The sequence below is a fragment of the Homo sapiens genome, chromosome 10 (genome assembly GCF_000001405.40).
Source record: "Homo sapiens chromosome 10, GRCh38.p14 Primary Assembly".
Classification (NCBI taxonomy): Eukaryota; Metazoa; Chordata; class Mammalia; order Primates; family Hominidae; genus Homo; species Homo sapiens.
Window position 1 is genome coordinate 93892946 of NC_000010.11, and position 17202 is coordinate 93910147.

The 17202-nt window shown below is 41.1% G+C and overlaps 1 protein-coding gene across 6 annotated transcripts, besides 2 other annotated features; it reads left to right on the forward strand.

Annotated features, from left to right (window-relative positions):
* Window positions 1007-1436: a silencer, noted in NCBI's record as "silent region_2630". NCBI's record gives its function as "represses an Ori minimal core promoter by ATAC-STARR-seq in GM12878 lymphoblastoid cells {active_cell/tissue: GM12878}" and the evidence as "EXISTENCE:reporter gene assay evidence [ECO:0000049][PMID:35858748]".
* Window positions 1033-16885, forward strand: SLC35G1 (solute carrier family 35 member G1). 6 transcript variants are annotated; one of them, NR_144337.2, is made up of 3 exons: window positions 1033-1266; window positions 13307-13440; window positions 14154-16885. NR_144337.2 is itself a non-coding variant. In NM_001134658.3 (3 exons), exons 1-3 carry the CDS (start codon window positions 1089-1091, stop codon window positions 8543-8545), a joined length of 1098 nt encoding a protein of 365 aa, NP_001128130.1. In that variant the 5' UTR covers window positions 1033-1088; the 3' UTR covers window positions 8546-10879. The 6 variants fall into 6 exon arrangements, 3 of the variants coding, with proteins under 3 accessions (NP_001128130.1, NP_694958.1, NP_001332922.1); NR_144336.2 differs by having other exon boundaries at window positions 15083-16885; NR_144335.2 differs by having other exon boundaries at window positions 1033-1215.
* Window positions 2922-2971: a silencer, noted in NCBI's record as "silent region_2631". NCBI's record gives its function as "represses an Ori minimal core promoter by ATAC-STARR-seq in GM12878 lymphoblastoid cells {active_cell/tissue: GM12878}" and the evidence as "EXISTENCE:reporter gene assay evidence [ECO:0000049][PMID:35858748]".

Consider the following 17202-nt stretch of genomic DNA (forward strand, 5'->3'; position numbering starts at 1 on the left):
AAATAAAGGAGGTAATCAAGGCTTCGAGGGGTACAGTGGTGACTGAGGTCACACACTCAGGGCCAGAACCTAGGATTCCTGACTTCAAGTCTAAAACTGTTTCAGCTGTGGATCACTATGTGCAAATGTCTGAGTAAAGGCAAACTTCACTCTCCTTTGGTGATCTGCTTGGCACTGGACTTAGAAGTTTAGATACGTTCATCCTTGCACAGAGACTGTTCTTCCACATATAAAGCAAGCAAAGAGATGGAAGAAGAATTATTAGCTAAACAAAAAGAGGCTGTTAGTGAATCCTGGGCCAAAGAATATATTTTACCAGGTCTAATTACATCAGATTACTTGAATCTTACATCTGGCCAAATTAGGATATTTCCATTTAAGAAAAGAAAACCAAAGATCAATAATGCATGCCTACTCTTGCAAAGAATGCAAAGAACATATAAATGGGTTCTGGTCAGTCTTATAGATATATTTTCCTATAATTACACACTAATTCTTTCTTAAAAATATTTCCCAAAACAGCAAAATTCTACCCTCCTTGGTAAGCAGCAAAGGGACAACACGGGAAACAAAACAAAACAAAACAAAACAAAACAAAACATAAAAACCCTAGACCATTTAAAGACAAGCATGGTGCTTTGTAAAATCTTCGGGGTATCACAGAGGTGCTGAATGCGTGGTTACATCAATGAAAAAACGCCCACTCTTTGAGCCTCCTGAAAAGGAGGCCACAGGACCCCCGGGCGCCAGGGCTTGGGAACCCAGCGCCCCTCCTTGTCTGTGCCATGACAGACAGGTTCAGTGTGACTTGCCAAGGATGGCTCCAAGCAGCTGGGCCATGTAGCCTGAACGCAGCAGAGGGTTGGACGCCTTAGAGCCAGCTGTGGGCACCACAGCCCGACCAGGGAGGCAGCGGGTCTCCCCAGGTTAAGAGGCCAGCGGAGGACGCGCGCGGTCTCCTTGGGGGAGGGTGCGGGTGGGCCGGGCGCGCATGCGCATGGGCGCCATCGCCCGCCGGAAGAGCGGCAGCCCAGGCGCTGCTGCTGGCGCCAGACGGCACCGGCCGCTGGTAGAGCGCGTGCCGCGAGATGCGGCCTCAGGACAGCACCGGGGTCGCGGAGCTCCAGGAGCCCGGGCTGCCGCTAACGGACGATGCACCCCCGGGCGCCACTGAGGAGCCGGCGGCCGCCGAGGCAGCTGGGGCGCCAGACCGCGGTAGGTGCTGGCTCTGCCTTTCCTCGCCGTGTTGCTCCCGCACCGAGCCGGGTGAGTGCGCGGTGTGGATCGGGCTCTGGTCTCGCTCGGGGGTCCCGAGCGGGCGCCGGCGGGTTGGGGTCCCCGCAACCCGGGCACAGTGCCCGCCGCGCCTCCGTCCCCACCCTGCCCGGGGCTCGGGAAACCCCTCGAGCTGTCAGCTGGGGGGCTGCAAAGCGGAATTCCCGGCGCCCCAGCCGGCGCTAAGACGGAAGAAACTTTCCGATTGTTAGCAGTCCTTTTGGGATTCCGAGGCTGCTCCTGTAATTAGTGTCGGGGCAGGGCTGTGGAGTCAGACTGCAGTTTGGCGTACCCTCCCCTAGGTCGTAGGTGGGGGGTCAGCGAGAGAGGCCATCCTGCAGTGGGGCGACGTTGCGAGGAAGCTGACCCTGAAAAGTGATCCCGGTGGTTAAGGGTTCTCTCCGAAAAGGAAGCTGAAAAGCATCGAGTCTAGAAAAAATGTTCGTCCTAGAGTTTTAGAATCTTGGAAAGGCAGAGATAAGTGGGACCGCTAGTTTTTAACCTTTAGGGATACAAGGACTTTTTAGCAAACGATGCAGAACAAGGCATATCTTGTTAAGAAGCTCACAGCCCCGTCCCCAAAGTCAGGGACCCCTCGTGAAGAACACTTTATGTTCAGTCCCCCTCCTTCGACACATGAGCAAAGTGAGGCCCAGGAAGGTGAGGGCTTTTGGGTTTTCGTTTGCTTTGTCTCCTCCAAGATGTGGAACGTGGGGGTGAGATGGGGCGCATGTCCAGGGAGCACCAGGGTTAGGATCCCAGCTTGCCATATACCGGCCTAGGGCCCTTTCCACTGGCCACAAGTGCTGCTTCAAGCACATTCCTCTTAGAAGTCGACCATCTACCAGGAGCAGCTTCCTGCAAGAAGAAGGGAATAGGCAGATCTCTTTTTAGGACAGTTACACGGCCTGCACCACCTTGTCCTCTGGGTCACCTCCCCTAAGTGTGACCCTGGATTTCTGTTCCTCTCCTCTCACTGCGCTTTCCCCTCCTCCCTTTGTGCACTTTCCCCAAGTTAGAGAGACAGACTCTAGGAAGACTATTCTTGCTCCATTTCTGTCCTAAAGGCAAACCGAAATGATCAGACTTGTGATCATTTATAAATGGGCTGGTGCCTCTAGAACAGGGGTTATGCCAGGCTGAATTGAACAGATAAGCAGCCTTTGAAAAGGTCAGTTTCTCACCTATCACCCTCTGGGTGAATGTCCTTCTGGTGGCATGCCGAATCAGTCCATGCAAACTCTTAAAGTTTCCCCTTTTTGTGAATGGAAGAGGAATTCTCTACTCCCAGGCAGCTCATGGCAAGATGAGAAACTTACGTGAGTGTATCTAAGAATCTTGTGGGTGTTTAACTTCAAAGAAAGTTTCTACCAGTAAGACTTAGTTATTGTAAGGTGACAAGATAATATTTTGGAAAGAAAATTGACATAAAAACACTTTACTGTTGTCATTGAACTTTGTGACACCTCTTGTTCTAACTGCTTATCTCAACAAAGCTTTTTTCAAGTTCTGGTTGGAACTGTTACCCATATGTCTTACATTCTTGGATGACCTTAACAGACACATACAGCTGTCCCAAGACATCTCCTTACTTTCTTCAGGGACAGTGTGGGTCTTACACTGAAGCAAGGAGAAGTAGTTTCTTAGGCCTGTGCCTCACATCCTCTGGAGGGAGTTAGTGATCGAGTGTAGCAGTGGTTCTCAAACTAGTGGAGCCTTTTAGAGTTACAGAGATTCTATTTCGGTGGGTCTGAGATGGGGCTTGAGAATTAATTTTTTTTTTTTTTGGAGATAGGGTCTTACTCTGTCACCAAGGCTGTGGTGCATTGGCGTGATCACAGCTCACGGCGACCTCAACCTCCTGGGCTTACTCGATCCTTTCATCTAAGTCTCCTGAGTAGCTGGGACCACAGGCACACACCACCACACCCGACTAATTTAAAAATATTTTTTGCATTGATGAGGGGGTTTCCCCGTGTTGCCCAGGGTGGTCTCAAACTTTTGAGCTCAAGAGATCCTCCCACCTTGTCCTCCCAAGGTGCTGGGATTACAGGCATGAGCCACTGCACCCAGGAATTAAAGTTTTAAGTGTTACTCAGGTGATTCTAATTCCCAACCAGGATTGCGAATCACCAGCTGAAAGCAGAGGATAGAGAAGCTGAGTAATTTTTCAGTTTTCTTCTAAGTGAGGAAATTACACCATGGCCACTTACCTAATTTGAATAATTTGAGTTACCAAATTATTAGATATGCTTGCAGTGAGATATGAACATGGAACCTAAACAAATGCCTCTTTCAGTTATGCTAGTCATGCTCATCTCCATTGACAGGATTGAAATGATTTAGTAAGAAACTGAGGTTTGTCTGAGTGGAGCCAGTCCTCACCCTCGTTAACAAATCATCAAATGCAGCGAGGCCTTCTAATGTCTGTCCCTTCCCAGTTGGAAAGCATGAGCCTTAAGTGTTTATAGGCAAGAAAATACATGTGTATGTGTTTTAAGGGGAAAGGTCACTAGGGCCAAGGGGGTGCAATTACATTTTTAAAGAGTTAAAATATTTAATGTTAAGTTAAAATATTCCTGGGGAAAAATTAGCAAGTTTATGTTGGAGAAGATACTTGAAACAGAGCAGGGAGATGTTTTCTGTCCTTGATCTTCTCGGTCTGTTCTGTTTGAGGGTGGAGTTTCTATGTAGGGGTTGAGTTTCTTTTAAGAAAAACTGTTTTATTTGGAACTGAATTCTGAAATTTCAGAGGCCAGACCCTAAGGCTGACCACAGCCAAGGCATGTATTTTGTGGTGCTTCACTTGGAAGTCTTCTAAAGCTTCCTTCTCGTGGGCTGCGTGTGTGCAGTTTATTTCTGCAGTATACAAGCACATGGATACAGAACAGAATGAGGATTCTGGCATCTTAAGGGAAGGACTACTGCTAGTTCCAAAGCAGTATCTTCAGCTGTGCACCTAGAACAGGAAGAGGTAGAGAAGGGTGCCTTTGACCACAAGGCCAGGCTGTAGAATGCCCCAGAAAGCCTGTGCATCAGCATACTTTGGTCCCAGTTTGCAAAGTCATCTCACTAACCTGAGGATGTGTAAATGTGTTACCTGGTGTTTACATTTATCAGAGAAGGGCATTTTAAAAAACATTACACAATACTGTTTTATAGCTATCACATTATAAAGTCCTAGATTGGAATGATAATACGAGTTTTCCTACAAGTTGCTCATATCCACTCACCCTTCAGTTCCACTGTGCTCTTAATCAATGAGGGCCACTTGTGTTTCCTTCTTACCCTCAACCCTGTTTTTGTGTTAATTTCAAAAAAGAATATATCCCGCAGTGTGTGACCTTTGTTTTAGGGCATTCTCTGCCCACCCTGCTGCTTTTGCTCTCTGAATGACAGAGGAGTAAGACTGAAAGCAGGTTCTACTCCTGTGTAGGAAACTAAGACATAGTAAGTGGCTAAACAAGTTTAAAGCTCACACAGATTGTCATTAATGACTGAATACTTGATGCCCTGGAGAAAGCACTGGTTTCCTCGTTCAGATCGAGCCAAGAGTAGGGATTAGATGGCAGTTCTGTACAAAGCACTTGGGATCCAAAGGGCTAGATAACCCACACCCTCCCCTTGAGGAGTTTGTGCTCTGAATGGGAAGATAAGTCGTGAAAGCATGAAAAGTTAAATATAGATTTGATTAACAGTTCAAAATAACAAAATGGAGAACCTTCCCAGATTATGCTGTTGCCGATAGTGTTAGACTCTTGAGTCTTTCCCTGAAGTTCTCTCATCTTTCATTCACTGAATATTTATCCAGTGTCTTCCATGTGCCAGGCATGTACAAGACAGCAAGATCCCAGCCCTGGAAGAGCTCACAGACTTGTGGGAGGAAGTCAAATAATCAACAGATAACTGTATAACCCAATTATAACCCATTTTCCAGAAAAGAACACTTTCTTCATAAAGCCAATTTCGCCAGTGAGGTGTGGCGTAAGATATCACTTGGAAGGATTTTTTACTTGCCATCTTGACAAGTGTTTCTTAAAGATTTCTCTCACCATCTTGGCAAGCGTTCTACTTCTTGACTTGTAAGTGAGGATGATTCTTCAGTGAGCCATAGGAAATCCATTTGATAGGGCGAAACGGCATTTTAAAAATGCAGGTTTAAATTGTTATCCTCATCTATGGTTCTTCATAATTGATGGGGAAAATGGTACAGGCCCAGAGAAATGATATGCTTAGGAGGTAATAAAGCCTGTTGACCTTTGACACTGTTCCATTTTTCTCAGTTTCTAAGTGAAAATGATAACACATACACTTGGAAGCAAGGACTAACCAGAATTTAATCTTTTTCAGAAGCCAAGAAGAAAGCACCCTGTCCTGGACTTGGCTTGTTTTACACATTATTGTCTGCCTTCCTTTTCTCAGTGGGCTCTTTATTTGTTAAAAAAGTGCAAGACGTCCATGCTGTAGAGATTAGTGCGTTTCGATGTGTGTTCCAAATGCTAGTTGTTATCCCTTGCTTAATATACAGAAAGTAAGTATTTTTTAACTGCAAAGTAGAAGATATTAATAAATGTGTGTATATCTTTTCACCTGCCTATAATTACTCTATCTGCTTTATCCATCTCATATACTTACCAGTTCCTATGCCCCTTGGCTCTGCTTAATGAAAAGTCATAAGCATCTACCCACAGAAGATTCTACCATGAGCATAAACCACATACCCAACAAAGTGGGGAGAAAGAAATTTTGTTTTTCACCACCTCCCCTTTTGAAAACAGAGCTTTCTTTGTATAATTCCTCTTGTCTTGTATCACCCTCCCTTCTTTCCTTTGGCATAACTACTGTTTGGAAGTTAAAAAAATGAATGAAAAGAAGTAATAGTGTATCCTAGTATCAGAAGTTTTTTTAGAATGGGCTGCTTTCTTACCAGGGCAAATAGAAGATTATAGTAATAATATTTAGGTATTCCTCAAAAGGTGATGGGGTAACCCTGAGCAAGGTTACTTTCGTATTTAGTTTCCTCTTTTGTAAACTAGAGGGAATGATACTGTGTGACTTCTGCCCTACAAGGTGATTCCAAGGGTCAAATAAGATTTATTATAGGGTGGAGTGCCTTGTGTAGAGTGTAACAGTATATGAAAATTGTCTCTATTCCGCCCTCTCTGTTCTCTCCCAACCCAATTCCTCTTTTCCTTCCCTGTTGAACTCCCTACCCTCCCTGGGTTAAAATTATGCCTCCTTCAACCATTGTAACCTCCATATACCTCAGTGTATTTAGAACCCTGAGAGCGAGACCAGTTGGGTCCTTGGTGGCTGCCTGGCTCTTTGTCTCTTTGGGCAAAAAAGGCTACACCCCAAATGAAAAGCTTTAGTCACTTGTCACCAAAGTCTCCTTGTATCTCTAACATGGTGCGGATTCACTTAGAATAGTTTCACTCCATATCCTGATGATTTGGTGGGAAAAGTGAAAACCTGCTAATACCTGCAAATTTCTGTCAATGCGGACAAGTCACACTATTTTAAGAAATGATGGTAGGGCTTTAGAAATTTCTAAGGGTAGCAGCAGAACACCGATGCTAACATAATCATCTCCCCCATTTTGAAATAAAGATATTGTCAGGGGAAGGACACTGGAAGAATGTTGTTAAAATCCTTGGTCCTCATCTGTTTTGACCCATTTTATGTTTTATTATCATGGAAGACTCTTTGCTTCTCAAAGTATGGGCCAAATGTGACCGTGCTTTCATTTTAACTCCAAGATACCCGGGGTAGCCTAGATGATAATCTAATGAAGTCTAGCCCTGGCACACGTCAGCAAGTTGCACCTAGCCAGGAACCTACACAGAGTGGGTACTTAGTAAATATTTATTGAAAAAGAATTTGAATAGCAGTAATCATACTTTTCCAAACACTACATGTTCTTTTTCAGTGTGTTTTGACTCTTTCCTCATGAGAACAATGAAAACTTGTCTCATATTCAATGACTAAAATAAATTTTAGCAGTTTCAAGTTTTATAGAAAAATTCATGAGATTGAGAATGAGCATTAGCTGGGTCTAAGTTTCCTTACACAGGGCAGCTGAATCTTGACATTGTATTTATCATAAAAGTGATATGTTTATAGAAAATTTGGAGAAAATAAATATAAAGAAAGAAAATTACCTATGAGTTTATCTATTAAGATATAAACATGATTAACATTTAGTTTATTTTCCTTTTTGTCCTTTTTGCAAGCATATATATACATATACGTGGGATAAATATCTATATTAATTGAATTATAATTTTACTATGCATGTAATTCACTTGCACTGGTTTTGCTTTTACTGTGAACACTTTACTGTCATTAACTATACTTAGAAAATACTATTTTTAAAAAGTATATAATATTCATTTGTGGATATTATAATTAATTTACTATTCCCTCATTTTTTGATATTTAGTACTTTTAAAATAATGTTTAATTACAAATTGTAATTTAAAAACAAATATTAATTTCATTTAATATGCATTTCTTCATTTGAATTTACAGAACTGGGTTTATAGGCCCAAAAGGTCAACGAATTTTCCTCATTCTCAGAGGAGTCCTTGGTTCTACCGCCATGATGCTTATATACTATGCTTACCAGACAATGTCCCTCGCTGATGCCACAGTTATCACGTTTAGCAGTCCAGTGTTTACGTCCATATTTGCTTGGATATGTCTCAAGGAAAAATATAGCCCTTGGGATGCTCTTTTCACCGTGTTCACAATCACTGGAGTGATCCTTATCGTGAGACCACCATTTTTGTTTGGTTCCGACACTTCGGGGATGGAAGAAAGCTATTCAGGCCACCTTAAGGGAACATTCGCAGCAATTGGAAGTGCCGTATTTGCTGCATCGACTCTAGTTATCCTAAGAAAAATGGGAAAATCTGTGGACTACTTTCTGAGCATTTGGTATTATGTAGTACTTGGCCTCGTTGAAAGTGTCATCATCCTCTCTGTATTAGGAGAGTGGAGTCTGCCTTACTGTGGGTTGGACAGGCTATTTCTCATATTCATTGGGCTCTTTGGTTTGGGGGGTCAGATATTTATCACAAAAGCACTTCAAATAGAAAAAGCAGGGCCAGTAGCAATAATGAAGACAATGGATGTGGTCTTTGCTTTTATCTTTCAGATTATTTTCTTTAATAATGTGCCAACGTGGTGGACAGTGGGTGGTGCTCTCTGCGTAGTAGCCAGTAATGTTGGAGCGGCCATTCGTAAATGGTACCAAAGTTCCAAATGAAGCATCATTGCTGAAATACATATTTTTTTCAAGTACACCATCACCTAATTCACATACAGCATACGCACACATCTGGAAAATCTGCATTTTCTTCATTGGTTGTATTTAATAAATTGCCTAAAGTACCATTTTTGAATATAGTATGTCTTTAGTTAAGAATAGCTAGTCTGTTTGGTGTAACAATTTTTTGGTAGCTTTGGTTTTGGTTTTGGTTTTTTTTGTTGTTGTTGTTGGGGTCAAGTTGGTGAGAGGAGAGCTCATTGTTTGAAGAAAAACCAAAACATTTTATGGCTAGTAATATTTATGTAATTTTTAAAATGTATTTTTGGTACTGATGGGATATGGGTGGGGAGGCTATTTTAGATATTCTTTTAGCAGTGTAGAGCCTAAGAAACTTGGTTCTACTACCATGATCTTTATAAACTATGCCTTCCAGACAATTGATAATGCTGCTATAATTAGTATTATGTTGATAATTCATTTGCAACCTTATTCTATTTAGGAGGATGAAGTTGAAGCTTAGAATAGGTGCCTGCTTAATGGTGTTAATAATACAAATGAATTGGCCTTATTTTCAAGGATTTTATAAATGATTATCATACTTGTAACTCATATTTGTGCCTTTTCATTTTAATGCTGGAATTTTTATTATGTCACCTCTAAAACACTTAAATTGCCAAATTTGGCTAGTAGTTTTGTTTCAGTGGCATTAGCAACTGCAGCTAGCATACTATAATTTTAATTGTCCTCACTTTTTTTTGAAACTGCACTAAATTTTTCTTAACATTCCAAGATTTCAGATCTCTAAATCACAAAGAGAAATCTTGGCATGACCAGTGTGCACGTTTCCATCCTGAAGTGTTTTCTCTTCACTAGAAATGTGATTTTCTATAAATTCCCCTTGAATTTATAGTGTGATGCCAAATAAAATTTTCTCAGGATCTTATTAGGTTGAACCATATGTAATTGCCAAGATTTTACTATTTTAACTTAGAAAAACCATCGTTTCATATGATTCACCCTAATAGATACCTCCATTATTCTCTAAATGAAATAGAAGACTTTGGAGTATATGTTTTTAAAGTAATTTTTTAAAATATGGTAATGTATTAAACTTATTTTTATAGTTATGAAATTATGTGTAATAATGCTTTATGTTATACATTAAATGTAAAGACTTGTGAATCCATGTTTGATTGACTTTCATAGTTTCCTGCATTGAAATAAAATCACTATGAATTCTAGTTTATCAGCATGATGTTAAATGTCAGTGCCATACCATGATGCAGCACCATGACACTAACGCCATGAATTCAAACAGCACGTTTTACACCTGGAACTTCATCAGACCAATACTTTGCAGTTAGAGAGAATTTAATATCTAGAAAAGCTTGGGAGGTTAGTCAGGACTTAGGGAGTATACATAAATGGTTACTTGTTGTAATGAGCCCTTTATTGGTGAGGTTGCAATAGCTTCCAGCTCTTACTGTGTCAGATGAAGCATCTGTCATTATCTTAAGCCTGCAGAGTTGAAAGGTTATAGGCTCTTTCCTACCCTCTCATCATAATTTTTCCAAAGCAAAGAGGAACTTGGCTTCTGGGGTTCGTGCCTTAGTGAGAAAGAATCTTTTCCAATAGTTCCAATGGGGGAATTTTTGGCTTGCTGATTTTATCAATTGCCTTGACACCTGACAAACCCTAAATGAAGTCTATGTAGGTGAGTCATCTCTGTTCCACCTGATTTACAGTATTGGAATTTAGACTTGCAAAAACATCATTCTGCAAATATCTTAGATAATTACAGAATCAGGAGCATTTGAGAACTCTAGAGGTCTCAGAAATCATCACATAGGGGCCATGCTTCGTAGATAGGGATGATAGAGAGGAGACCTGCCCAAGTTGAATTTCCATGGCCTTCCTCCCTTCCTTAGTTCCATGATAAAGTATGGACAGTAAACCACTACTTGAGCTACCTAAGGTGAATTAACTCTCAGGGAACCCTCTTCCAGTTCTTTACCTTGCACAGTGAAAGAATCAGTGGCACCTAGAAAGTTAAATCCCTTTAGGCCCATACACTAGAGACATGTTTTGTTTGAACAATGTAGTTTAAGTACTTGAATGTCACACTATATAACTGAGGTTAGAGAAAATGTTTCTTCTAGCCCTTACAGGGTGTGATTCTTAAACACAATGTCCAAGGTGTATACAAGGATATGTATTGTAACAACTATGGGTATGTATATTTTGCAGAGCGTAGTTTCTATATCTTGAAAAGGAAAATATTTTCATAAATTGTTTTTATAAGTACTAATAAAATAATATGAAAGAAAGCTATATGTTGGTTGTTATGATTATAGCAAATATATAACTTATTTCCCTTTCAACCCTATGCTTCAAAATATATTTTCTGTAGGAGATTGACCTCTAGCCATTCAGCTGGGATATAATCTCAAAGTTTAAACTGTCTGACCCACTTGTACTATCAAGAGGGTCAGATGAACAGTGTAATCTGTTTATCTCTCCAAAATAAAGGCATTAGTCTTCTGTGTTAGTGAGACCTTCATTCTTCTAGATCCTGAGAACTTAAAGTAGCTTTGAACTCTGTACTTTTTGTTCCTGTAGCTAATCCGTTACTAAATCCTGAAGAGTCTTTCTTCTTATTGTCTTCTTATTGTCTTGTGGATTTATTCTTTCCTCACCATTTCCACTGCCACCATCTTAGCCCAAGACTTAGCACCTTACACCTGAATTACCACAACAGTTTACTGGTTACCTGCTTCAAGACTCTTTCTTCCACTCTGATTCCTGTCTCAGTGCCAGCTTAATGTTCCTAAAGCCCTGTTTTCACTGTTACTCTAGTTCTCATGAAACCACAGTGATGCCTTATTACACACCATATCACATCAAATTTTCATCTGGCCCTACTCCCACTTCTCCGACCTGATTTCTACATCCCAACACAAATGGGATACTCAGATCAGTCTTACCACTAGCTCCCATGTTTGCCAGTAGAGTCCTTCCTCTGCATTTCCCCCCTGTCCTTACCTTCTCTTATTTACCCTCTAAGGCCTGTTAGCCTCCAATGGCTCAGCTTAGGCTTTTGTTTCTTCTGGACTCTAGCTTCTCCTACCCACATAATCCATCTTGGAAGAGTGGGTAAAGCACTGGATTGGGATCTGAAGGTCTAGTGTGGTTTTATCACTTTTCAGCTGGACAAATCACCTAATGCACCTGAGCCTGTTTTCCTCACTTGCCCAGTCCCTCTTGCAAATGAGTGCCATAGAAGGGCTTATAGACTATTAAGAAGGATGAAAACATTAAGTATTGAACTGTGGTTAAGACTGTAGAATTGAGTATTCACTCTCCTCTTCAAAATGAGGCGTATACCAGAGTCCTTACTCCCGAGCAGCCTCACCAGGAACCGTAGGAACATGCCTATCAGAATGCAAACTCCATTCGGCCCCCTCCTGCTAGCACAGAATTGTGCTGTTGGCCAGCTTTCACTTCCTAGCTGATCTTCCCATATAGGGCTGCCAAGGATCACCAGTCCTTTCATGCGCAGGTGTTACCACCTTTCCAGTTCTGGCCCTAGCTCTGATCTTATATGGGTATTATGCTTGGCTCTGACCTGGGGAATGGGCCTGATTTATGTGTGTTTCCCATGCACTGTGTACTCAGCATGGTTCTTTTAGCCTCTTACGTATTGCACTCGGTAAGCATATTTACTCTCTTGAGGGCATTCTAGTGGGAAGAGAGCCAGATGTTCTTGATATCACCCTGGTCTCTGATCTAGGTGTGTATGGATCCATGGTCAATAATGGGCATTAGAATTTGGTTATATGGGTGAAGGTTGGATATATGAATCCTGGACACTACCCTAAGCATGCTGTTTTATGCCCCGTTTGGTGCCTTATATCAGATCTAATACAGCTACCATATTCACCTAGAATTCTGCAAGATAACCTATCAGGGACTCTGATCCACATTGATGGATCCACGGTTTAGCCTCTTTGAACATTAAGTTTGGAGCTGGACCTGGGAAAACAATTCACAGCCCATGAACCTTGGCACTTCTCATCTCCTGGAAATTCAGGGGTGGGCTTTATAGCAAGAGGGTAAGGAGAAGACATACTTGGTATCAAGGGAGGGCAGTAAATGTAGCAGAGATGCCCAGTACACAGGAAAACGTTCCACTGGGCTCAGGAAATGTCATTACTAGAGAAAGAGCCTGGGTCTCTTCCACTAAACTTTCATGATTCTAGAAACCATGTGAGATTAATACCAGTAAGCCTGATGAAGCAAAGGAAGTAACCTAGATTCATGATTAGTTGCCAGGGTGGGGTCAGGAAAGTATAAAACCATAGTTGAGCAGAAGTAGACTTGGGCAGGAGGAAATGTGTTCAGGTGAATGGTGCAGCATGAAAGTACCATGCCAGGGTTGGGAGCTCCATGGTGCAGCAGAAGTACATGGAAAGGCCAGGCCAGAGGAGTGCATTACTAACCAGAAGGCCTGTATCTGAGGTTATAAGAACCTGGCTGTTCTTACCGCTGTTCCAAGTATACTTGACCATGATTTAAGATTAAGCTGTATGTGCCAAGAACATACCAGAAAGAGAGAAACTAATAATACAACTATATTTGATTTTTTCTATGATTATAGTAGGTACTAGCTCAATAATATTAGAATTGAATTCAAAGCAATAGCATAATTCAGAATGGACTAACATTTTCTTTCTTCTGATATTCCCCCTGGGAAATCAGCCACATTGCTGTGAGGAAGCCTGGGCTACATGGAGAAGCCCACATGAAGAGGCCCATGTGGAGAGGAACTGAGGCCCTGACACTTGGCCCCATCTGCACTACCAGCTGATAGCCAGCATGAGCCTGCCAGCCAGGTGAGTGTGCACACTGGGAATGGATCCTCCAACTCTCAGGTGAGCTGCCCCAGCTGATGCTGTGTGGAGCAGAGACAAGCCCTCCTCCTACCTCCTGAGCTCTGCTCAAATTGCAGATTTGTGAGAAAAAGAAACCAGTTATTACTGTTTTAAGCCACTAAAAAAAAAATATAAACGATAAAATTGTCTTGGATATGTATGTACCACATTATACACAATCACAATTACATAAAGCAAAACACCTCAAAAGAACAAAAATCAACAAAAGGTAGGACATTTTCATGGGGTTTTTTTAGCCTGTGACAGATAAAATTCACAAAAATTAGATATATAGGGGATAAGAATAATAAAATATAATAAAGTTGGTCTAAACCAACTGTTTTCAAAGTGTGGTTTGGATACCTCAGAGTCCTCAGGACCCTTTCAAAGTGTTTGCGATGTCAAAACTATTTTAATAATAATACTAAGAATGTTATTAGTCTGTTTCACAATCATTCTTTCATAAGTATACAGTGGAGCTTTCCAGAGGCTATTAGACATGAAATTGCAACAGCTTGAATGCAGAAGCAGATAGGAGAATACAGCTATTATCTATCAAGCCAGGTTTGCAAAAATAAAAAGCAATGCCACTCTTCTCACTAATTTTTTTGGAAAATAGTTATTTTTTATTAAAGTGTTATTTATATTAACATATAATTACATTATCTTTCAAGGCCAGCACAGTGGCTCACACCTGTAATCCCAGCATTTCGGGAGGCCAAGGTGGCCAGATCACTTGAGTCCAGGAGTTTAAGGCTGCAATGAGCTACGATCGCGCCACTGCACTCCAGCCTGGGTGACAGTACGAGATACAACAGATGAACACACTTCCTGTTTATGTGCTTTAGTTCCTTTGTATGTGCATTTTAGAAAAGTCAGAAGTCTTTGGTACTTTGCAGCATGTGTGCATTGGTACAACTTCTAGGAAGGGCAATTTGGCACCATCTATCAGATTTACTTATGTGCAAAATGATATGTACAAGTTTATTCCAGCCTGATTTGTAATAGCAAGAAGAAATGGAACTAGCCTGAATGTCCCTCAATAGAGTACTGGTTAAGTAAGTCATGGTATATACCCAAAATAAAATGTAATGCAATTAAAAATAAATTTAAGAAGAGCAAGGAAGCTTTCCATATATGGGTGTGGAATAATGTCCAAAATTGTTAAGTGAAAAAGCAAAATTCATATCATGGTTGAGTATGTGCTCATTTGTATAAAAAGAGGGTAAACAGAATATTCCAGGAGGATATGCAAGAAACTGTTAACATTGGTTGCCTTTGGCAGCTGAAGGGCGAGGTGAGAGGAGACTTTCCACTGAATCCCCTTTTACACCTTTTGAATTTTGAACCAGGTGGGTAAATAACTTAGTCAAAATAAAATAAAATAAAATAAAATAAAATAAAATTGGTGGAACAAAAATAAAAAGGTGACTTGATGGAAAAGAAAGGAGAAAGAAAAGGAGTAAAAGACATAGGGAGCTACATATATACATTATGTCATACATACATACATGCATAGAGAGATGTTTACTGCTTTAATCTGGGCTGTCACCCTGACTCACCTTACGGACTTCCTTTTGCTCCCTCCTCTTTTGCCTCATAGAGTCTGCAGACCATACTTAAATTCCCACATCTCCATGATTGAAGGGAATATAAAGATGAAACTGAAGTTCACCTTTTTAATAGGACTATATCCTCCAAGATCCTAGAAAGCGTTGTGTGGCCCTGATTCAGATGTCTGCTTTCCTATGGCACCAAAACAATTTTTACTTGGAAAGGACACTAACATTTATTGAATAAACCTCATCCCAGCCAAGAGCTTCTTAATCTTTGTCTCATTCCCTCACCAACCTTGGGAGATAGACTGATTGGGAACTGAAGTTCAAAGAGGTTGAATGGGGTTACCTACCTGCTAAATTCTAGTCCCCTCACTAGTAAATGATGAGGTTGGGCCATGAGGTCTGCCTGACTCCAAAGACCTTGCCCTTTCCAATACTTCATGCTGCCTCCATAATTGAGGGTGGTAGAATGCAGAACAGGGAGTCATTTGTCACTGTGGTGGAGAAAGAGTTGGTTTTTGACTTTGGGATTTAGGGATACATATGTCCTCCTTCCTCCTTCCCCTCCTAGAGCAAGAGCTAGAAGCGAAAGAATAGAAGGTGATGACAACACTGCATATATTTCAGTTTTATTTCTTCCGATCTACTAATTAACATTTGTTGGGCAGTAGCCATAAACAATCCTAGCCAATGCAAGGAAACACCAAATATTGTCAAGCCCTCACATTGGTCATAACTGGAAGCAAACATGACATATATGGACTATATAATCAGTTTGCGTGGGCTACAGCAAGATGTTGCCCAAGAGCCTAGGCATGAGCTGGCTTCCTACGGCCTCCAAGCAGGAAAGAATGGAGCTATACACAGTCATCTGAATATACAGAAGTGAACCCTGGGCCAGCCACATTCAGCCGTAACTTCCCCAGACTGTTTCTACAGGTGCAGTGTGCCAATCAGAAGAAAGGTGGCCAGGCTCAGGAGAAAGGACAGGAGAGTGACTCTGGCAGGCTTGCTCCATTGTAGAGATGAGATACACCAAGATAGTGACTTCCCAGCTTTTCTCCCCAAAGCACCCCTAATAGCTGAGAAGAATCTGGAGGCATAGCTACCATCACAGCTACACTAACCACCATACTTTACTGTATCCTTCAGGTGTCTGTCCTAGCTAGTTTTGTGGTCTGGCTCCTTCAGTCCCTGCAACAAGCCTGTTTATTTTCATTATATTGATGAGGTTATAGAGCTTGGACAAGTTACATGACTTTTCGAAGATCACATAGCTAATAAGTGTCAAGAGTCTTATTCTCAAAACCCTGGTCTGTCCAACTACAAGCCTGTGCTCCTGACTCCACTATTCTGCTTACCCTAAGCCTAAAGCTGCCCACTTCAAGCTCAAATCCTCTTGGAGGCTTCATGCTTTAAAAAAAAAAAATCCATGCAATTTTTTGCATCCTAATTAATAATATATCTGTGTGTTTTAGTGTAAATTTTTTTTTTTAAATTACCAATTCAGTTATTTAGCTTTTTATTCCCCAAATCTTTGGTACCCTAGGCAGATGTGTCATATTTATCCTGGGCTTTATGTACCTCTGGTTTGAGGGACTCTTGAACTTCATTTTAAGAAACATGGCCCAATGAGTACACAGTCAAGTCTTCATGTCCCTGAACACTGCATTACAAAATCAGCACTCCTTGTTCTTTGTATATTTGTGTTATCAAATAACTATGTGATTATAATCTGGCTTCTCATATACCATAAGTGCAGAAGAGAATCAAAAGATTGAGTACCTGATTCCCTAAACTGTCAAATTTCCCGTTGTATATTAATAAAATTTGTATCGTTTCACAAATAAGACTCTATGTTTTTGGTTATTGTTGCTCTTCCTAGAGAGATAGAATGTATTCCCAGCTTCCCTCATCCCCTTTCTTCTAAAATAATATCCCTGTATTAGAGTAATTATGCTGGCTGCTATAACAGACAACACCCCAAATCTCAAGAGTCTTAAAAAATAAAGTTTTATATCTCGATTCCCTCACAGTCTGATGTAAGTTGCAAGGTCTCTACAGTATCTCTCCTTTGAGTGGTGATTAGGCTCCAGGCTCCTTCCCCCTGATGATCCTGACTTCTTATACAGGTAGCCTCCAAGTTTACCAACATTTTACATCA

Excerpts from the sequence above, each read along its gene's own strand:
- SLC35G1 (NM_001134658.3), top strand. The coding sequence starts at position 1,089 with ATGCGGCCTCAGGACAGCACCGGGGTCGCGGAGCTCCAGGAGCCCGGG. Across the intron at positions 1,267-5,625 it reads TTGCTCCCGCACCGAGCCGG|AAGCCAAGAAGAAAGCACCC; the intron begins GTGAGTGCGCGG and ends AATCTTTTTCAG. Across the intron at positions 5,807-7,806 it reads CCTTGCTTAATATACAGAAA|AACTGGGTTTATAGGCCCAA; the intron begins GTAAGTATTTTT and ends TTGAATTTACAG.